Source organism: Homo sapiens, chromosome 11, assembly GCF_000001405.40.
Source record: "Homo sapiens chromosome 11, GRCh38.p14 Primary Assembly".
In the NCBI taxonomy this organism is placed as follows: Eukaryota; Metazoa; Chordata; class Mammalia; order Primates; family Hominidae; genus Homo; species Homo sapiens.
Window position 1 is genome coordinate 14,224,975 of NC_000011.10, and position 22,533 is coordinate 14,247,507.

The 22,533-nt window shown below is 46.5% G+C and overlaps 1 protein-coding gene across 1 annotated transcript in view, besides 6 other annotated features; it reads left to right on the plus strand.

Annotated features, from left to right (window-relative positions):
* SPON1 (spondin 1) overlaps positions 1-22,533 on the plus strand; it is a 305,411-nt gene that overhangs the window by 262,252 nt on the left and 20,626 nt on the right. The window contains exon 7 of the mRNA NM_006108.4: positions 18,358-18,422. Within this exon, the coding sequence (NP_006099.2) occupies positions 18,358-18,422 (65 nt within the window). The remainder of the gene's footprint in view (positions 1-18,357; positions 18,423-22,533) is intronic.
* Positions 4,969-5,263: a silencer, noted in NCBI's record as "tiled region #134; HepG2 Repressive non-DNase unmatched - State 22:ReprW". NCBI's record gives its function as "represses a minimal TATA promoter and a strong SV40 promoter by Sharpr-MPRA in HepG2 cells {active_cell/tissue: HepG2}" and the evidence as "EXISTENCE:reporter gene assay evidence [ECO:0000049][PMID:27701403]".
* Positions 4,969-5,559: a biological region, named in NCBI's record as "Sharpr-MPRA regulatory region 134".
* Positions 4,972-5,559: an enhancer, noted in NCBI's record as "NANOG-H3K4me1 hESC enhancer chr11:14251492-14252079 (GRCh37/hg19 assembly coordinates)". NCBI's record gives its function as "activates a minimal SCP1, AML or CMV promoter by ChIP-STARR-seq in naive H9 embryonic stem cells {active_cell/tissue: H9 hESC(naive)}" and the evidence as "EXISTENCE:reporter gene assay evidence [ECO:0000049][PMID:30033119]".
* Positions 5,560-6,146: an enhancer, noted in NCBI's record as "H3K4me1 hESC enhancer chr11:14252080-14252666 (GRCh37/hg19 assembly coordinates)". NCBI's record gives its function as "activates a minimal SCP1, AML or CMV promoter by ChIP-STARR-seq in naive H9 embryonic stem cells {active_cell/tissue: H9 hESC(naive)}" and the evidence as "EXISTENCE:reporter gene assay evidence [ECO:0000049][PMID:30033119]".
* Positions 5,820-6,038: a silencer, noted in NCBI's record as "fragment chr11:14252340-14252558 (GRCh37/hg19 assembly coordinates)". NCBI's record gives its function as "represses an EF-1alpha promoter that drives an FKBP-Casp9 reporter gene in an ReSE screen in HepG2 liver carcinoma cells {active_cell/tissue: HepG2}" and the evidence as "EXISTENCE:reporter gene assay evidence [ECO:0000049][PMID:32094911]".
* Positions 12,597-12,646: an enhancer, noted in NCBI's record as "active region_4468". NCBI's record gives its function as "activates an Ori minimal core promoter by ATAC-STARR-seq in GM12878 lymphoblastoid cells {active_cell/tissue: GM12878}" and the evidence as "EXISTENCE:reporter gene assay evidence [ECO:0000049][PMID:35858748]".

Consider the following 22,533-nt stretch of genomic DNA (forward strand, 5'->3'; position numbering starts at 1 on the left):
GTGAAGGCAATAGACATGGCACGGATGGAGTGACGGAAGCCTCTCCAGGGTGTGGCTGAGGGCGCCATTCCTTTATGATTTCTCAGGCTATGGATGTGAATTTTCCTAAGCCAGGTCTGCTCACTCACAGCAGGGCCCAGCTGCATGGAGGAATATAGAATCCAGGGTATTATCATTAGAATTAAGCTGCTTCGTTGAGTCCATAAATGTCACACTCGGGCATACCAGCATGTCTTTTTTTCTGGCTTACAATGTAAAAAGTAACAATGGTTATCTGTGGGTAGTGGGATTATGAATTGTTTTTATATTATTCCTTTTGCCTGTGTCTATTTTCTAAGTGTTCTACAAAGAACATATTTTGTATACGGAAAAATTTATTATAAAAATGTTTTTTTAAAAAAACAAAACTATACATAGTTTCGATCCAAACAGCATCCTCTCTCCTTACTGCCTGAGTAAGGAAATGCTTGATTGAATTAGAAATGGGAGGGGAGGTTGTTGATAGGATCCAACTTCAAACTTCTAAGCTATTTATTTTCTTCCTTTTGCTTTGGAGATTGTGCTGTGCCAATGAAGATAGACTGAAGACGTGAATAGTCTTGAGTTTGAAAAATAATCGTCGTTTTTATTGTTACAGCTTCAGGCATGGATTATTTCCATCATTTATATTTCAGGAAACCTCAAGTACAGCAAAATTGCCCAATAGTTAGAGAAGATCGGATTATTGATACTCTCTTTTTAAAGAAAATAAAATATCTTATCAGAGAGAAGTCCAAGTGACAATAATATCACCATACGTCTACAGGGTTGCAAAAGTAAGGAGTTGAAAGGAAGCTCTGGTTTAAGTACGTGATGTTTAAGAGAACTGCAGACAGGGGTCTAACAGCTGAGATTTTTCAGCACCATGTTCTAAAGCACTTTCTTGCTGGGCCTAAATCAAATGTTTGTCTATATAATGTCTTAGACATTGTATGCATCATCGGGCCATCTTCCTAAAAGGTGGCATTTTGATTACAATCTTCAATTTGGATTTTTAAAAATTTGTAATACCAGTAATGATAAATAGTGCACATAGTTGTATGGTTCATAAAGTGTTCTAACATTTAATCTTTACAACTCTAAGTGTTTGAGTTCACTTTAGTCCATTTTAGAGATGAAGAAGGTAAGGCTCATAGAAGCTTACTGACTGGCCTGAGATCACACAGCTAGGAAGTAGAGAGAGAGGATTCAGATCAAGCTCTTCGGACTTGAATAGGAATGCCCTTTACACTGCTCCCTTCTAATGACAGGTTTTAGTTACAGATGCCTCTTTACCCACCATGGGGTTACTTCCCAGTGAACCCACTGGAAGCTGAAAATATCCTAAGTGGAAAACTGACATTTTTTAAAACATAATGGGATGTGAAAACACAAAATACAATATCCAAAAAATGCTGGCAACACAGTACACTGTACAGTATCGGTTGTTTACCCTTGTGATCGAGTGGTTGACTGGGAGCTGTGGTTCACTGTTGCTGTCCAGCACCACAAGAGTATCATATCACAAATTGCTAGCCTCAGAAAAGGTCAAAATTCGACGTACAATTTTTACTGAATGCATATAGCTTTCACATCATCATAAAGTCAAAAAATTGTTAAGCCAAACTATCTTAAGTCAGGGACTGTCTGCCTTTTATTTTCATTAGACTCACTAATCAAAAAGGCAAGCAGGGCCCATAGGAATTATATCCATTCCTGTTGCTGTTGTAACAAATTACCCACAAATCTGGTGCCTTGGGGTAACACAAATTGGTTCTCTTACAGTTCTGGAGGTTAGAAGTCCAAAATGAGTCTTACAGGGCTGAAGTCAAGATACAAGCAGCGCTGGTTCCTTCGGGAGGCTCCATTGCACAGTCAGTGGCTGCCAGTCTTCCTTGGCTTGTGGCCACATCATTCCAATCTCTGCTTCCATTATCACAGTACCTTCCCCTCTCCTTTAGTCAAATCTCCCTGTGCCTCTGTCTTGTAAAGACACTTATATTTAGGGCCTACCCTGATAATCCAGGACAATCTCCCCATCTCAAGATCATTAACAATATCTGCAAGGCCTTTGTGGACATATAATGAAGCATTCACAGGATCCAGGGATCAGGATGTAGATATTTTGGGGGGCCGTTACTCAGCTTACCATGGCAATATTCGTTTCATTCATTTATTTAGTTATTATTTAGTTATTTTTGTAGAGACGCAGTGTCACTATGTTGCCCAGGCTGGTCTCAATCTCCTGGCCTCAAGTGATCCATCTACTCAGCCTCCCAAATAGCAGGGACTTCAGGCACAAGCCACTACACCCAGCTTTATTTCATTTATTAAGTGGTCCCTAAATGTAAGATTCCCTGAATTTAAATTTAGGCCATAGCTCTTCACAGTTTTCTATTTTAACCTTTCACTTTTGTGTGCCTTGAGGCCTTAGTATTTGTTTGCTTGCTTGCTGGCTGGCTTTTAAGCAAATTTAACTCTGACTTTCTATTGAAAATAACTCACCCAAAACCCCTCCTCCTGCTCTCTGTCAGGGATGGATGCAGACCACTGACTTTTTCCAGGCCAGGCTTGGAAAGGGCTTACAGAGAGGTGCATTCTTTATTGTTCGGCCTCTCCTAACTACTGCCATTTATTGAGCACTTAATATGTGTCAGAAACTTTGAAATCATTCTACATTTATTTACAGCTCATTTGTACCTTGGAACAGGCCTGTAAGGTAGATTATTATCCCCATTTTACCAATGAGAAAATCAAGGCTCAAAGAGTTAAGTAACATTCCCAGGGTTACACAGTTAAGCCACAGACCCTCCAAAACCCAGCCTCTTAATACCATGCTTTTGCAAAATTAAATAATTCCCAAACCTGCGTAATGTATAGATCTCTTTTAAAGGGCAAATACAAGCTCACAAACACCCAAGGTTGAGTTATAAGGATTTTCATTATCATATTATTTAAATATGTGCAAAGATAACCAGATATGAACTCCTTATGCTTATAGCTCTCTTAAGATGATAAAAACAAAATAGTGATACTAATAATAACACAAATAAAACTGCAAACACTTTAAATGCTAATTAAGAACATTGCTTTAATGTGATGGGTGATGCTGTTTTGCTGAAATTAAATGACTGCTCACAATCTCGATGCAATGCTGACCCTCGTAGCCTGGGTCCTTCCGAGTTTGGTATGCATACACCAGGGCCCTTTGGGCTAACTCAGTTCTCCCACTGTTCTTCCAACCACTGACAACACATTGTTCAGGCAGCAGCACACGTATCCTTTGGGCTTTACCTAGTCAAAATGTCTTTGATTTGTTAACTCTGCTTTCCTTTTAGAACCCACTCTCTTTAGCAGCTGGGTTCTCTGGGAAGGAGACCTGCATCAAGATTAGAGTGCAGGAAGTTACCAAAGAATGTTCTTGGGAACCACAGCTGTGGGAGGCAGGGGAAGGAAGCAGGATGTGCAGAGGGAGAAGTTGAGCTGTGTCGCAGGCCCAACAAAGACCTCTACCAACCAACTCACTGGGCTGGGTGGCTCTTCAGAGTTGTCCTGCCTTGGGGACAAGAGCACTGACCTTTGTGCCCCTGGAGGATCACTGGATGAGGGTCACCCTGGAAGGAAGTTTGACCTCACATTAGGCTGTGTTATCTAGCCAATGCCAAAGAACTGACAGCTAAGAGCAACCTTTTACCATCATCCCTGCAGCTGGGAAGTAAGTCCTTCACTCCTGAAGAGAGATCTGGACAGAGCGTCACATTGTCTTCCACACTAACGCACAATAAAGTTGTATAGGGCAACCGTGAGATGTGAAAACAAATGCATCCCAGCCACTGAACTGCCTGGTGATGCTTGACTAGATCTTTGAGATGATCCTTAATATGTACACAATCTATTATTTTATTCTCACAAAAATATAAATATAAATGTTTAAATTCCCACAGAGAACTAAGAAGACTCTAACAACATATTTACAGGCCCCTAGAGGTCTTCAGAACCTACTCCAAGAAAGAGGAAGGTTAGGAAGCTTCCACCCCAGTTACCTCTGCTGGGAATTGCTGCATATACCTGTGATATCTCCGTGGTGTGACAATCACAAAGTTTTACGAATACTTCTTTGGGTGGCAGTAATCATGATGGACAGATCCTCTCACAATTCACATGTAATATTTGGGAATAAAAACTTGATTGAACATTCATTCAACATATTTGATCAGGCACATACTATGACGTGGGTACTTTGCTAGACACCTGGTGGGGAAGATACCTTTATACGAGTGAACAAATAATCATGGACAAAGAGGATCTGAGAGTCTTGGGTCATCAGTAAGCCTTTTCAGAAGAGGAGTGGCTTGAGGGGACAAGGGCAGGAGCATTCCAGACAGAAGGATCCAATGCAAAAGCATGAGCCTTTGGTGCGTGGGCATGACAGGTGATGTAGGAGATTTGGTCAAAAGGTGGGTCAGGCAGTAGTGAGAGGTCGCACTGACAGAAGCGGAGTGGAGAGCCTGCCAGTATGATTAAGTCATCAGAGGCACCCCCTTCATTACTATTCACCTGGCCCTGACTGATACCGTCTCATTTAACCTCCATGCACTGTGATTAACCCAGTAGGGAACAAGCTCCACAAGGGCAGTCTGTCTGGTCTACTGCCCTGTGACGGGAGCCCAGCACAGTGTCCGACCCAGAAAGGAGCTCATTAACATGTGTTTTACAGACAAAGAGTCAGGTTCAGAGAGGACAGCACTTTCCCCAAACTTGCGCAGCATATAAGTGACCAAGCCAAGAGCTGAACCCTCGGTCTGCCTATTCCACCATACCGCTCTTCAATTCCTGCTCCGTGAGCCACGAAAATAACTAAAAGAGCGTTTTCACAGTCAGAGAAACTTCTGTTACCATGGGAAACCTGGAAGAGAGGCCAGCCTGTGTGTGTGTGTCTGTCTGTCTGTCTGTGTGTCCGTGTGTGTGTGTGTGTGTGTGTGTGTGTGTGTGTGTGTTCTCAAATTCCTAGAACGGACACCCTTTAGTGTCTGCCACAACACAAAATTTCTCCTGTCATCTCCCAAGTCTCTCCCCAAACCTCAAATATGTGGGGTACTCGAGAATGAAAAGGGTTAACCTTTCACAGCTTAGGAGAGCTGTTACTTTGCATTTAAATAGCCGCATTTAAGAAAGCAGCATTCCCAGGATCCTTATTTGATACTAATGTGCTGAACACCTTAAAGCACACTTACTTCTCCCCCATTCGGGTCACTTGGAGCTTCATTACTTAATAATTTGAAAGCTTTTTATGGAAATCAGTTGATAAAGGGAGATGATGAAGTGAAATGTTATTACATTTAAAGACCCAGCAAACTAGGCTGCCAGAATAACACCTGCGTCAGACATTTCTAAGTAAAGAAAGAGAAGGAGAAGGAGATATTGGTGTGTGGATGAATTCTCATTTCTTTTGAAACTGCCGTTACTTTAAAGATACTCCTTGCCTAACAAAGCCTAACACTCTTTAAAATTGTCAAGTGAAGAACTCATCAGCTATCTTATGAATTCTACCCCTGCCATGGCGCTCTGTCCCCCTGCCCACCTTCCCAGCCGCTGCCTTGGCTTCAAGCCCATTGGGTCTAGAGGTCCGCCCTACTCTCCTCCACAGGCAGGGTCAGCCTCACACAGTGCCCACCTCAAAAGCCTTCATGACTAACCAGTTGAGAAAACCCTGGGAAACAGGCTTGGATGCGACCTTTTCTTTTTACTTTCCATTTTTCTTTCTCTCTCTCTTTCCTTCCTTCCTTCCTTCCTTCATTTTTTCGTGGTGGTGGTGAGACAGGGTCTCACTCTGTCACCCAGACTAGGGTGCAGTGGCACAATCACAGCTCACTGCAGCCTTGACTTCCTGAGCTCAAGCGATCCTCCCACCTCAGCCTCCTGAGTAGCTGAGTAGCTGGGACTACAGGCATGTGCCACCACACCCAGCTAATTTATTTTTTATGTTTTATTTGTATTATTTGTAGAGATGAAGTCTCACTCTGTTGCCCAGGCTGGTCTCGAATTCTTGGATTCAAGCAGTCTTCTTGCCTTAGCCTTCCAAAGTGCTGGGATTACAGGCATGAGCCACTGTGCCCAGCCGCCACTTTTTTTCTTTTTTTTCTTTTTTTTTTTTTATTTGAGATGGAGTCTCACTCTGTCACCCAGGCTTGAGAGCAGTGGCATGATCACAGCTCACTGCAACCTTCACCTCCCAGGTTCAAGCAATTCTCCTGCCTCAGCCTCCGGAGTAGCTGGGACTACAGGCGCATGCCACCACGCCTGGCTAATTTTTTGTATTTTTAGTAGAGACAGGGTTTTACCGTGTTAGCCAGGATGGTCTCGATCTCCTGACCGCGTGATCCACCTGCCTTGGCCTCCCAAAGTGCTGGGATTACAGGTGTAAGCCACCACACCTGGCCCCAGCCTCCATTTTTTTAATGGCAATATATTCACATGGTTTGAAAATCAAAAGATATATAATAAGGTTACACAGTGACAATCCTCAGCCTTTTGCTTGCTCCCTGGTTACCTAGTTCCCTTCTCCTGAGGCAACTGATTTTTGTAATGTTCTTATATATCCTTCCAGAGATACTTTATGCAACTAGAAATATATACACACACAATTTTCTTTATCCTTACCACCCCTCTCCACAAAGGTAAATAGATTACACAAATAGATTACTATACAAACTGTACTGTAGTTTGCTTTTAACATTTAATATATCTTACAGATACTCTTACTTGTGACATGACTTTTTTAATGGTGAATCCAAAGACTATACAGCAATGTCTAAAAAAAAAAGATTCAAAAGTATATACGTGTGTGTGTGTGTGAGTTTTGTGCATAAGTTATGATGTCAACTATGACAAACAAATGAATATTGCAATTGATGAAAGCTGCTGGGTAAGGATGGTGGGATTATAGGGTCATTCTTTTTGTTTCTCTCTCCTCCTACGCCGTGTGTGTGTGTGTGTGTTTGTCTCTGTGTGTGTGGCCAAAACATGGTTATGTTTTTAAATTCTAAAGACCTTATTTCAGTATGTGAGGTATATTTTCATTTTGGTAGAGTTCTTTCCTGGCCCTTTCATATGCATCAGCATCTGTTTCTTAAAATACTTGAGTCACTTTATTGGTGAAGGCTTCCTCCACCACTCTAAAATTGCAGCATAACTCTCTCACCCCATCCTGGCCCTCCCCCTCACCCTTCCCGGCTATATTTTCCCCGGAGAGCTAATCAGCACTGGACACACTGTGTAGCTGTTATGTCTGCCTCCTCCTCCGGAATGTAAGCTCCTTGAGGACAAGGATGGGTGTGTCTTCTGTTCAGGGCTCATTCTCCAGCACGTGGAATAGGCCTGGCACAGACTAGGGGCTCCATCTATCATTGCTGGATGAATGAGTCCTCACCATCAGCCCCAGCAACCCAACCCACATGCTCTCTGGCTCATGCCTGTAACCACTAACCAGAGCACCTGCAGATAACCAGTAACCAGAGCATCTGCAGCTCTGTCCTCTGCTTCCCTTTTCCCTCCCCACTCTGGCAACTCTGGAAGACCACTCCTCCCTCCCAGGTCTGGATCTCACCTTAGGGATCCATTCCTGCAAGTGCACCCTCCCTCTCTCCTGCAATATGAGCTTATCTTCTATATTGGATTATACACTTGGACATACAAACTTGCCCTCATATCACACATCTTTCAAAAAATAATCACATGTCCTTCCTGCTACTGCCATTTTTCTCAACTCCACAGCCGACTTCTCAAAAAGCGCTGTCTGGGCTTGCTGGTTCCGCTAATTCACCTCTGTCTTTCCTGAACCTGCTTCCATTGTATTTTCAGTAGTGGCCAGTGGGGCAGCGGCGGCAGCAGTGAGCACATGGCAGGGGGGGCAGTAGGGCAGCAGTAAACAGAGGCCGCAGAGGTAGTGGGGTAAGCACAGGGTTTCTGAAGAGGCCCTGGGCAGGTCCTGGTGTCCTCCTATCTCTCTGGCCATTATACCTTAGTCTGCTTTGCTCTCCCCCATCCTCTCCTCTGCCTCCATTCACTCCCCAGGTAATCTATCCTGTGGTTTTAACTACCAGTCTCTATGCTGATGACTTGGAGTTTACGTCTCCAGCCTGGACTTCTCCGTTGAGCTCCGGCCTCATATATCTACCTTCCTACATGACACCTCCTTTTGGAGTCATCCTTGACCCCTCTTTGTTTTATACCTCACATCCAATCCATCAGCAGATAACGCTGAGCCGACCTGTAAAATATATCTGCATCCCATGCCTTGAACCCCTTCCATTGCTCTTCCCTGGCCCTATGTCGCCAGACACAGCAATGGCCTCCTGCCTGGGGTCCTTGCTCCCCAGCTTGCCCCACTCCAGTTACTTTCCCTGAGCAGCCAGCAGGATCCTTTAAAAATATGAATCAGGTCATACCACTCTTCTGCTCACAAACCCCTCAGCCATGTTCCAGTCCCATCACACTCTGAACAACAGCCCCTAAACCCTCTGGGAGGGCAGCCAAGGCCAGAGACTTCCTCTAGCTTATTATTAACTAATTGTTTAATTAACTAATTCATTATTTATCCCTTAAATATTCCCTGCATACCTCTCACAAGCCAGGCTGGTGCTGAGGATATAGAAGGGATGCAATGCGGCCCCTGCTCTAATGCTGGCTTCTGGGACGGGACCTGCCCTGGGATGGCAGTGGGGATGGGAATCATGGTTGAGGAGTGTCCAACACTGTTTCTTTTTCTTTTTTTTTTTTTTTTTTTTTGAGATGGAGTTCTGCCCTCGTCGCCCAGTCTGGAGTGCAATGGTACAATCTCAGCTCACTGCGACCTCTGCCTCCTGAGTTCAAGCAATTCCCCTGCCTCAGCCTCCCAAGTAGCTGGGATTACAGGTGCCCGCCACCATGCCCAGCTAATTTTTGTACTTTTAGAGATGGGGTTTCACCATGTTGGCCAGGCTGGTCTCAAACTCCTGACCTCAGGTGATCCATCAACCTTGGCCTCCCAAAGTGCTGGGATTACAGTGTGAGCCAAAGCACCCGACCCCCAGTGCTGTTTCTTGAAGACTACAGGATGTGTTCCCATGGGGTAGGGTTAGGGGTGCTGAAAGGGGCACTACCCTTACAGGTTGAGGCACCTCCAGTCAGATCTGGCCTGGATCATGGGCTGGGCTTCCTCACAGCCCTTTCTGTTTGAAGGCAGACAGCCCTTGCTTGATGTTCTCTCCTGTTTGGATTTGGCATCACCTACGTGATGTTCGAATACCTTCTGCTGTGGCCCCCTTTTCCCTTCTTTGCTCTGGCCTTGGCACTAAGGTTTTTCTGACTGCTGAAGGTCAGGTAGAAGATGGGGAGGCGGACCACGGAAGAGCAGGTCCTGGGGGCTGGTGGGATGGGAGGCAGGCATGCCCCATCAGCCTCTTCTGCTCCTTTGCTCACTGATTTTACTCAGGGGAGCAGCAGACTTGTGTGAGCACTAAAAAGAACATAATAAAAATGCAGAAAATGAGGTTAAATCCAGGATGGTACTTCAGTTACCAAAGGACAAGCTAAGTAAATGCCGATGGCCAGTGCCAGCACACAGAAGGTCATAGGGTGATGTGAGTCCTCAGAGCTCCCACCCACCGGAGGCAGCCCTTGGGCGGAGGGGCAGTGGGGCAGGCCCGGAACAGCTCTGATGGTCCCTTCCTCTCTGGCTTCAGAAATGCCAAGCTGCTTCCACAAAACCATCTCAGGGGAAAATCATTATCTACGGACATTATGCAATTTTCCCATCGAAATTACAAGCTGTGTTTGAAAAGAAATAAAAAGAAATTGAATTTGAAATGCTTCTGTGCAAACGCATCATCTTCTAGTGGATCTGCTAATGGGCTTCAGATACTTTCTCTTGCTCTAAAATAGTTGATCAGACAGCAGCTTGTGATGGTGGCTGCTTCCCGGGGAACGGGGCATAGAATGAGCACTTATGAACGGCCAGCCAGCCCACCTGAGCCAGGTTCAGAACCTGTGAGCTCTGACCACGGTTCCCAAAGTGGTCACTGTATGCTGTCCCTTCCCCTCCTCTACCTGGCAGTGCTGGCACGGCTCTATGCTGGGACTCTCACTGCTCCTCCAGCGCCTCCAGCTGACACCCAGGTCGATGAGTGTCACTTCACACTGCGCTGGCTCCATCCTAGGTCCAGGGAGTGCCCACGGACTGGGCCTCGGAGGACACCAGCCCCTTCCTCATCACAGCCTCTCATTCACCCAACAAGTATTAGTTAAGCGTGTTCCCAACACAGATCTAAACACTGATAGTACAGCAGTGAGCAAAACAGACAAACACCCTCGCCCTCTTGGAGCTTCCATTCTAGCAGGGGGAGATAGACAATAAAAAGTAAATAAGGCAGGACATGGTGGCTCACGCCTGTAATCCCAACACTTTGGGAGGCTGAGGCAAGCAGATGGCTTGAGCCCAGGAGTGTGAGGCCAGCCTGAGCAACAAAGCAAGACCCCATCTCTACAACTAATTTTAAAACTAACTGGGCATGGTGGTAGGCACCTGTAGTCCCAGCTATTTGGTATGCTGAGGGTAGAAGGATGGCTTGAGCCCAGGAGGTCATTCTACAGTGAGCCATGATTATGCCCCTGTACTCCAGCCTAGGCAACAGAGAAAGACCCTGCCTCAAAAAAAAAAAAAAAAAAAAAAAAAAAAAGTAAGCAAAATGCACAGTCAACTGGACAATGGCAAATGTTATGAAGAAAAGATAGTGGGATAAAGGAATAGGGATGCTGAGTCAAAAAGGGGGCAGGGACCTGCCATGGACATCAAAGTCCTCACTGAGAAGTTGACATTTGAGCAAAGACCTGGAGGAAACAAAGGAGAGAGTGCTCTGGTATCTGGGAGAACAGCATTCCAGGCACAGGGAACAGCAAGTGCAAGGTGTGCCTGGCATGTTTAAAGATACATAAGAAGTCCAGGATGCCGAAACCCAGGTTGTGGAAGAGTAGTAAGAGATGAGGCTCAGGAGGACAGGCAGACCATGGAGGGTGTGGGGGACCAGAGCAAGGTCCTGTCTGCTGTGAGATGCAAAGCCACTGGAGGATTTTGGCCAGAGGAATGGCATGATATGACTGCTGCACGAACAAGAGTCTGGAGGAAGGGAGGGGAGGTAGAGAGACCTGCTAGGAAGCAACTGCACTCATCTAGCTGAGCGATGATGGTGGCTTGGATCAGGATGGAGGCAGGCAGGAGACGGAAAGTGGTTGGATCATGAAGATATTTTGGAAGTGGAGTTGACAGGGTGTGCCGATGGATCAGTTGCAGGGTGGGAGAGAAAGAGGCATCCAGGGTGGATGGAACTGAAAGTACGGCATTGCCATGTAATGGGATGGGAAGAATGAAGGAGGCTGGGCTTAGGGAGGGGAAGATCAGGAGTTTGGTTTCAGGCACGTTGTTGAGTTTGAGATGCCACTTAGATACCCAGATGAAAATGTTGAGTGGCTGATATGCAAGTCTAGAGTCAGAGGCTAGTTTGCAATAGAAGATTACAGCTTAGGAATCATCAGCATATACACAGTTGGCTTTTTAAGGCAGGGGACTAAATGAAATCACCAAGGGAGTGTGGATAAAAGAGAAGACCAAAGGCTTGAGCCCTGGGGCACTTCAAGCTTTAGAGGAAAGTGAATAGGAGTCAGCGAGGGAGACTGAGAAGGAAGAGTTGATGAAGTGGAAAGAAAATCAGAGGCAGCAAGTCCCAGAGCCAAGGAGAAAGCTTTTCAAGGCAGAGGGAGTGAGTGACCAGCTGTGTCAAATACTGCTGAGGGGTCACAAGAGCTGAGAGCTGGGCACTGACTTTGGCTTTGGCACGGAGAGGTCACTGGTGACCTTGACGGGAGCAGTGAGTCTGCTGTCAGAGGAGAGGTGAGTCTCAGTTGCCTCACCTGAGAAATGGGGACACCCTCCTGCCTTCCTCAGAGAGCAGCAGTGCAGACCATGGGCAAACTGCAAAGTGCCACCAAATATGAGCTGTTTTATTTATGACCTGAGAAGCCCAGAGGCTGTTGAAATGAGGGGAGGCTACTGTTGGGCACAATTGGTTTTAAAGATGCTTACAGCCCCGTTATCACCTCATAAAATGGCTCATTTCTTGCTACTCATCACCAGAACACTCACCCAGGCATGAAAAAGTTACCTTCAGAGGTAGAAGCTGTCAGGATGGATATTTTTTGTGCATGGCAACTGGGAAAGAGAAAAAGCAAATAATGGGGCCAAATAGTGCTCACCGGGGTCTCCACGCAAGATTCCAGACACTGCTCTCCCAGAGGGAACCCCAGTGATCCTGTGCCTCAAAGCAAGGGCTCCTTGGAGAAAGCCACCAACCAGGGTCAGCTGTGCTCTCACTGCAAAATGAGCAACATGGGGGAGGGAGGAGAGAAGGATGGAGAAGAAGGACAGTCAGGGAAAGTGGAAAGAATGTGAGTTTGGAGTCAGATACACATGCGTTGGAATCGTGGTTCCTGTGTGGTCAGCAAATGACCTGACTCCTCTGAGCCACAGCTTCCTCATCTGCAGTGGACAGCGTGATAGCTATTTCCAAAGCTTTCTGTAAGAAACAAGCTGTTGAATGGGGGAATGCACACTGTGTGTGTGGCTGCGTATCACTGCATTTGCAATTAGTGGCACTGGGTTTTCCCCTGTTTAGTAGCAGACAGTTTTTCTTCAGCCCAAGGAGCCTGTGCCTTCCCGGCTTCATCAAACCGGTCGTCAGAACAGCAGTAACTTTCAGTGTTGTGAACATGGTCTGATATTCTTCCACGTGTGGCTGTGATATGCAGAACTGAAAGTAGGCTAGGACATGCCCTTAAGAGCAGCAGAAGTAGGAGGGGTGGGCCTGGTTCTCCTGGGCCACAGTGTGCACTTTCAGGCCCCATCTGCCTGGGTTCATGGTGGCAACGGGTGTGGCCTCTAGAATCAGACTGAGGTCTAAACTCTAGCTCAGCCAGTTAACTAACTGTGAAACTAATTTGGCCAAATAAATGTGTTTCTGAGGATTAAAACGTATATATCCACCTTGCAAATGTGTTGTAAGGATTAAATCAGATGCTGTCTATTAGGCAATTTGCAAGGTTAGCAAGATGCTTAGCACATAAAAAATAAATAATTATTGTTTTATTATTGTTGCTGTTTCCACCTGTTTCTATTCCTTTCCCTCTCTGATCATGGATTGCATCCCATTTCTCTTCCTGTGGGGAGGAGAGATGGTAGGGGCATCAGGCAAGTTGGCCAGGCTGACTCCACACTGAGGTCTGAGCCTCAGTGCTACCAGCAGCAAAGGAATGTTTAGGATGAGGAAATGGCTTGTGGTTCAGGACTGGAAGACAAAGTCAAAAAGTTAGGAAGAAAGGGGCAGGGGGATGTGACAGACTCTGGCCTTCTGCTGTGGGCACAGCTGGGATGTGTGGAGCTCTTCCTCATTGGGTGGCTGGCTCTGGAGTGCAGAGGAGGGTCAGCGTGGGGTAAGATTGGTTCAGACACCAGCCCCGACCCTAGACTCACAGTCTTACTTTCTGTTCTGCTCAGACCACCCTGTTTATCTCCTGGTATTGATGTAATTGCTGCCTCCAGAACAGATCTGTCCCAGATCTGTTTTCATTCCACATGAACCCGCTTCCCTCCAGACCTGACCTCAGCCCATGGCCTGTTAGGGGATATGCTCTTCCCATTTGGTACCAGTAACTGTGAGGTACAAGTACAGCTGTTGTATCCCCACAATATGCTTACAAAAGCAAAATGGAAGATGAATATGAGTGACCTGTAGTATCTTTGGGTTTTTTCCTATTTTAATTGGTATGTCTTTAGAAAAGTGTTGGCATCATCCAAATGAACCATGAACGATGGATGCCCTGAGACACTTTGTTTGAAAAGGGTCCTGTGGGAGCTGAGAAGGGGCTCTAAGTATTCTTGAAAGTTCCTGTCTGTGCCTTAGAGACTTGTTAAAATAAGCTTTTCATTTAAGTCTGAAGTGTGGGTTGCTTACTCTGAATTTAAGTCCTTCATTCTTCAGAATGTGAAATGCCCAGGGCCCTAGTGCCCCCATCCAAGCTACATAAGCCTTCCATCATATGCTCCCTGGGACTCAGAGCTTGGCTTTCAATGGAGGCAAGTTCTCCTGAGGCTTTGTGGGTTTGTACCTGCAACTGTGTGCTCCAGTCTCTGTACTCAGGCAGCGCAAGTCAATTCTGATATGAACTTACCCTGAATGTAAGTAAAAATAAGAATGATCAGTAATTTTTGTGGAGCACCTGCTATGTGCCAGGCACTTCATTGCCACATTACATGAGTTGTCATTTAGTCCCCCTAACAAGCACATGCAGAAGATCCTCTTTTTACCCTATTTCACAGATGAGAAAACTAAGAGAGGTCACAAGACTTGCCAAAAAACAGAGTTTGGCAGGGCACGGTGGCTCACACCTGTAATCCCAGCACTTTGGGAGGCCGAGGCGGGCAGATCACTTGAGCTCAGGAGTTTAAGACCAACATGGGCAATGTGGCGAAACCCCATCTCTACAAAAATACAAAAATTAGCCATGAGTAGTGGTGCACACCTGTAGTCCTAGCTACTCAGGAGGCTGAGGTGGGAGGATTGCTTGAGCCCGGGAGGCTGAGCCTGCAGTGAGCTGAGATCGTGCCACTGCACTACAACCTGGGTGACAAAGTGAGACCCTGTCTCAAAAACAAAACAAAAACACAGAGCTAGTAAATGGTACCATTAGCATATGACCTCAGGTATGATTCCAGAGCTTATGCTTCTCAACTATGCTACTTTCCTGCCTGCTGGATTCATAAACATTAAAAAGATGGATAGTATCCCGTGTGCCCTAAATTGAGAACATGGGCACATACACATCCTTGCTGGGAGTAGAAATTAGTACAGACATTTGGAGGGCAATTTGGTAGGGCAGACCACAGTTTTAAATTTGCTTCACATTTTGATCACTCCTATGACTCAATGATACAGGAATCCTTGGATGTATGAGCAAATAAATACGTACATGAGTCTTCATCACAGCATCATTTATGAAAACAACTAAATATTTACTAATGGTGCCAGTGGAATCAATTAGAGAACATCCCCTGCTACATAACTCTCTGCATACATCAAAGAGAATGGTGTGGCTTTGCTTTTTCAACAATCTACTGAGCGGCCGTAGGCATGGTGATATGGCCATGAATGAGCAAGATTCTCTCTGATCCTTATAGAAGTTAAGTTCTACCAGATAACTTGCTGCTTCAACAAAAATATTTAGCTTTTTAAATAAATGTGGTAGAATGCTCCTGCTTTCTTGTTTCATTTAACTCAAATGATCACCAAAAAAGAGAACAATAAGCTGTTGACCCTGCAGATGTTGTGTAACCACTAGATGAAAAGATTTACAGCAGGAAGCTGTCATGCCCACACATATGGTCCCACCATCCTTGGAGCCTCCATAGGTCTAAATGGAGTTTCATCACCATAAATAAATGGTAATGTAGGTTCCAAACTATACTTGTGGAGTTATACATTTGATCTTGGCCAAAAGGCCAAGAAGCAATATTGTGTGTGTGTGTGTGTGTGTGTGTGTGTGTGTGTGTGTGTGTGTGTAGTTATATATTACAAAAGCAAAATCACTATATCAGCTGGGACCTGTAAACCAGAATTTAACTGTAAAGCAAGGTGAATCTGCATGGCCAGCTAACTTGGCAGCCACCTTCACTCCACCCACATTGATTTTATTTTCTAGTGAAATATTTCTTCAAGAGCAAACAGACTGTCATCAGACAGTATCTCATTACCAGGATCTGATATCTTGGATTTCCTTTTTCTAAGTCTTGACCTGGCTTGCCATAATTTGAAGATATCCAACACTTTAAAAATCAAAAAAGAGAGCTAAGATATATAGTATATAGTGTACATAGTATGTAGTACGTACTGATGGAAAGTTTCCCGTGATATGATATTAAGGAAATATTTTAAAGTCATGGTACAGAACAAGATATTCAGTATGACACAGATTTGGTGGGAAAGCTAAATATAATGCCTGCACACACACACACACATCCTTACATGTGCATCGTAGAAGATCTGGAAAGATACACACCATGCTGTAATATTCTGGAAACGGAGAAGGAGACAGAAGGCAGGGTTGCTGTTGAAGTAGACTGTGTTCAACATTTACATTGTGAGTTTCTGTGATGCTAAAATTTTCCACAATGTGTGTATTATTCTGGAATTAAAAATCAAAGAAAAAAAAGTGGAGCAGAACTAGATGATGAGGACCCCATAAGCAAAACTCAGGAAGTAAGAAATTGTCATGGAAGTTGTGAGGAGCCTTTGAAGGGTTTTGGCAGGAGACAGATACCGTCAGATTTGCAGCAAGTGGAGGATGAATTGGGGGAAGCAAGAAGATACTGGAGATGGGGTGGCCAGAGGGGAGACTGTGGAAGGAGGTGAACACAGGAATCCTCAGCCTGACTGGTGTCGGGGGTGAAGGGAGCTGCTGGTGTTTGGCACCCGGCTCAGGCACGCCTGAGCTGTGCCTTCAACCCAGGCTGGGCTGCTGGAGGAGGAGCAGGACTCTGAGGTCAGAGGAAGGGCTCAGCCATGAGGCATATGAGATGACTGGAGGAAAACCAGGTCTGGGGAGACATGGAGCTGGCACTCAGGAGACAGATAGGTTGTGTTCCATATATGACTTCAAGATAAACAACTTCTCGGTCATTCAACAGATATTTCTTAGGAGGGAAGAAGGGATACACTGTAAACAAATAAATATATTTCTCAGAGCATGAGAAATGTAACTGCTCTGTTGGGAAATGCTTTGCCTGCAGACATGTGAATGTTGGGGTGTCTGTGCATCCCAAGATTTTTTTCATCTGATGGAAAGAGGGTACCCCGGGGAGCCTGAGCCTAGGAGGAGGCTGCAAGCTTCCTGGGTGGCTCACCGCCGCTGCCCTGTCCTTGTGGGCCCTTCCCCTCACCCAGGACTGTCTGTAGGAGCCCAGACCACGCTGGGTCTGGCTAAGCCAACTTCCTCTGCACCACCACCACCCAGCAGCCCCTTCCTGCATGGTAAATGGGAAGCCATGGACCAGAAAGCTTTTTATAACCTCTGGGCCTGAGCCTCAGAGACACCACTGTCCTCCTTCCTTTCAGTTTCCATGGGGCTGTGGGATTTTCTAGGCAAGGTACCCAACCAGGGAGAAGGTCACAATGCATTCTAACTGCATTCTAGGCGCCTGCTGCCAGGCACGACTCTAAGGACTGTAGCCTTGTCGCTATGAGCCAGCCAAGCAAGTCTCTTCCCCTGGAACTCAGGGATCTGTTCAGTTGGCAACAAAGCCCTTCCTTCCCCAGCTGGTGACATTCTGGAGTTTTCCACACACAATGGACTATTGTGTCTGAGCACTGCTGGGCCCAGGCCAGGGAAAGGGGCCATACAGGACCAGCTGACTCCACTCTAGGGAAAGCCCCCCACCAGAGCTGAACTTGGACCTGTGGAGGCCTCCAGCCTTGCAAAGATCATGGCACCCCTCACCCGCAGTGTGTAATTGAAAATAAAAACCCAACCAAACCTCAAAGTTGAGCAAAATCAACAAAGTTCTGATTTTTGCCCTATGAAGACCATTCAGTGCTTTCCTTCAAAATGTTAATTATCAAATTATTCCTCAAAAAATTACTTTAGTTTCCCCAGTTATCCCTAAAATAACTTTATGGTGCTTTATTCACCATCCAAAGCAAAACAGAGCCAGAGAACCTGAGGGGCACCACGGGTATGGGGCCTTGGCTTTGTGCTGGCCTCCTCGTCCAAGGGAGTCTGATCCAGCGCATGGGTCTCACCAGCAGGACAGGCGTTGAGGGGACAGTCCTCAGGGCCAGGTGTTAGCCACATTGCAACTCCTGCTGACCCAGCTGGCCTGGAGCAGGCCCCACTCAGTTGCTGGACACAGAGCATGGCTCTGCCCTCTGAAATGGACATGACATGGGAGTCTGGCCAACCAAGGCAGAATCCAGGCCAGATCTCTGCTCTAGTGGGGAAGGGATGGGCTGAGCTGGAAACCAAAGGTGTGACTCAGTGGCCCTTCAGTGTCCAGGACATACCTGGACACTCAGTCCCCTCTCCCGGTATCACTGAGGCCCCAGGGTTCCCCCATCCCAGAGAGAGGTGGCTGTACACCCAGGCAGGAAAAGCCCCAACAGCAGGTGAGGGAGTGGGGGTGAATGGTGTCACCAGGTCAAAGCCCTATTGTTCCCATGAGCCCAGCTCTGTTCACTAAATATTTGTGGTCCTTTTTTGCAGAGTGATGAGGTCCTCACCGTCATCAAAGCCAAAGCCCAATGGCCAGCCTGGCAGCCTCTCAACGTGTAAGTAACACAAGTCCCTTGCCTGGCCTGTCTTATCCTAGCCCCTTCTCAAAGCCACCTACCTAATGGCCACCACATACCAGTTATGCTGTTGAAGTTAGCACTACTTCTCAGTTAACAAGCAGGCAAGATGCTTTCTATGTGCAGAGCATCACACCTGCCCCATCTTCTCAAGGATGCAGGCTCAGGCTCTGTTTTCCCCCAATGGCTTTAATACCACAGCCAGATGTGATGGCTTTAATACCAACTCAGATGGGATGATTAACTGTTCTGTGTTCACTCATGCTCTCAGCCACAACAGACCAAACATGCCCTCACCCTCAGAGCACACAGGTGTACTCATGCTTAGCCAGTCTGATGTGTGGAAAGCCAGATTTACCCTGGGTTCCATTCTCAGTCCCGTTTCTTTTCTGTCTCCTCTATCCCAGAGAGATTTTATCTGCCCTTGAGTCAGGTGACCAAGGGTATGCTGACAGTCCCCAAAACTACCTCCTGCCAAATGGATGGATACAGTGGTATATCCGTCAGGTTTTTGGACAGCTCTCCATGGATGGTCCACCTGGACCTTAAACTCATCATGTCCAAAATGGGTCCCATCACCTTCAAACAAACCTGCTGTTCTCCATGTGGAGAAATATTGAAAGTACAGTGAGTGTCAAAACCCTGTGGATTCTGCCTTCTGGGCAGCTCACAAATCAGTCCTTACTTGATTCTCCTCCCCTTCCTTCAAGCCATCACCCTTTCTCACCTGGACCACGTCACCTTTTTCCTTTGCTGTAGTCTCCCTCAGTCCAATTCCTCATCCACAGTTACTAGAGTGATCTTTTAAGAATCCAAATACCGGCCAGGCGCAGTGGCTTACGCTGTAATCTCAGCATTTTAGGAAGCCAAGGCGGGCAGATCACGAGGTCAGGAGATCGAGACCATGCTGGCCAACATGGTGAAACTCAGTCTCTACTAAAAATACAAAAATTAGCTGGGTGTGGTGGCACGTGTCTGTAATCCCAGCTATTTGGGAGGCTGAGGCAGGAGAATCACTTGAACCAGGTAATCAGAGGTTGCAGTGAGCTGAGATCGCACCACTGCACTCCAGCCTGGTGACAGAGCAAGAATCCATCTCAAAAAAAAAAAAAAAGAATCCAAATCCTCCAGCTAGCCTGGGCAACATGGCAAAACCCTGCTTCTACTAAAAATACAAAAATCTAACTGGGTGTGGTGGCGCATGCCTGTAGTCCCACCTACTCAGGAGGCTGAAGTAGGAGCATCGCCCGGGTCCAGGGAGTCAAGCAGCAGTGAGCCGTGATCGCACCACTGCACTCCAGCCTAGGTGATGGGAATAAGACTCTGTCTCAACAACAACAAAAAAGAATCCAAATCTGTTGTGTCCTCTCCTTCTTCATCCCTCTGTGACTTCGCTTAGTCTCAAGATCAAGTCCACACTCCTTAGTTTAGCGTGCGCAGGTGGGCGGAACACACGTCGGGGTTCATCTCTTGTCCTCCCCATGCTGCACCTCATACAGGCCACCCCGAATCCTGGGCAGTTCCTTGAACAAGCTTTGATTTTGCTCATCCTTTAAAGACGCAAGGCCTGGAGACTGACCCCAAGAAGATGGTTTACGAAGAAGCCTTGGCCAGCCCCTCTAGGGAGTAGTCTACATCCATTAACACCCGTATTGAAGACAGCAACAATGTGAGGAATGTGTGAGATGCTGCTCAGTGGGAGAAAAGGCGAAATCCACAGGATAGGAAGGGAGGAAAGTGCTGGACATTCAAAAGGAAGACGCCCCAGGATAGGGCAGTGGGAGTGAGGGAGGAGGCACACTCATAGCTGACTGCCTGGGAGCAGGGAAGCTACGGCGAGGCACCTGATACCTGCTCATTTAACCATTCAGCAAACTAATGGCTCATCCCCTACTGTGCGCCAGCCCTGCACATGCAGTCCTAGCTCTCTGGAACACTCAGCCAGAGAGGAGACAGACAACAGACCAAGTTGGGCCACTCCAGGTTTTCCCTTTGCACAAGTCCAGGCAGCACCATATAACCTGAATATATAAAATATAATGTCATCATGGCAGCCTTGTATACTCCAAGGGGATAAATGTTAGGGTGAGGAATGGCTCTGGAGCCCCAGAGCAGGGGCAGAACCCTCTCCTGCTGTGTGGAGGAGGGACATGGGGCTGTGCCTGGAAGGTGTTCCTTGTGCTGGTCAGGACTGGCCCAGGCTTGGGTGGAGCTGAGGCTCTGAGTGGAGGCCTGAGGAGGGAAAGAGAGACTAGCACTCAGACAGCTGGCCCAGCGCAGCCCAGCTGGCTGCATGGAGGCCTTTTCTAGCCTGCTGTGAGCTCTAAGCCTTGCTCTGGATCCTCCCTAAGGAAGCTCACACCAGGGCAGGAGAAAACCCACCCAGCCCAGGAAATGCCTTGCCCTCCAAGGAGAAGCAACACGAGGCAGGGCCTACCCAGGGCACTCTCCTGGCAGGTGCACCTTTGCCCATCTCATCCCTGTCCTACCAAAAAACAAGGATGTGAATTCACAAAAGCCCTTGGTGCCCTTTGCATAATTAACATCAGTTACCAGTCAGGTCACCCTGAATCTCCTTACTCTGCTGTCTCTTCAGATTCTCCCAGTTCCTTGGCTCCCAGAACCTATGTGTGAAGAACCCCTCACTTCTGGTCCTCTAAGTGGGCAGGGGATGAAAGGCAGGTAGGGGTGGGGAGAGTTTGTGGGTACCAATTTTTACACCATTAAGGAGTCTTTATACCAGTTTTCTCTTGAGGAGCCTGGGCTTAAACAGATGTAAACTGCAAATCAAAGCACATTCAGGAAAGAGATAGGAAGGGAGGGAGAGAGGAAAGAGAGAGCAGTCCTTTTTACCTTCAGCATCCCCTTGGGTCCAAGTAGGCGCTGACATTTATTATCCCTTTTAATCCTAATAACCATGAGGTAGGTATTGCAATGTCCATTTTACCAATGACCAAACTGAGACTCAGAGGTCCTATGACAGCAAGGGTGGATATAGAATGCCAACAGTACCCAGCTGATTCTAATGCCTGTGCTTTTCACTATAACACGATCCTTCCAATTAAGTAACAATTCATTCATTTTCCCATGTCTAAATTAATCAAGACATATATACCTGCCAATGAGCCTTCTGATTGGCATGAAATTAACAATGTGACCACACCAAATGGTCTCACACCTACCCCAAAACAAACAAAATCTTACTTTCACTTACCCTGTATCCTATCAAGGAGGACTGAAACATCCTTGATAGGAGGGTCCCCCCAAAAAAAGTCCTGTGAAAGGTGCTTAGGGCAACTGTGGTGAGCACAGCACAGTTCCTTATGGAGATTACAATTCAGTGGGGAGAGATATTTACTAAATGATCACACAAATAAATGTGACATGTCTATGAAGGAAAGGCATAAAGTGCCATTAGGGGGGTTAGAGATAGCTTCCCCCTAAAAAGGCAATGAAGCTAAGATCTAAGGAAGCAGTAGGAGTTAACTAAGCAAAGAAGAAAACAAAGGGGAGAACATTTTAGAAAATCTGGAGAGACCATCATGTATCTGCAAAGGCCCTGTATGAGGAGGGAGTAGAGTATGTCTAAGGCACTAAAAGGCTTTGGTCTAACTAGATCCAGAAATCAAAGATGAGTTTGGTGTGGGGCCAAGCCATGTAACATTTGAAATTTTTTATTTGAATTTTTGCATTAAAAGTCATGAGTAAGACCAGGTGTACTGGCTCACACCTGTAATCTTAACATTTTGGGAGGTGGAAGCAGGAGGCTCACTCGAGCCCAGGAGTTTGAGAACAGCCTGGGCAACAAAGCAAGACCCCCATCTCTACAAAAAATTTTAAAAACTAGCCAGGCGTGGTGGCTTGTGCCTGTGGTCTCAGCTACCTGGGAGGCTGAGGCAGGAGGATCACTTTAGCCGAGGAGGCTGAGGCTGCAGTGAACCATGCACTCCAGTCTGGGTGACAGAGCGAGACCCTGTCTCAAATAATAATGGTAAATCATTGAAGGGTTTTAAGCAAAAGGGTGACATGATCATATTTGCATTAAAAAATAAAAAGCAATAACAGCACTCGGCCCCTGTGTGAAAGGGTA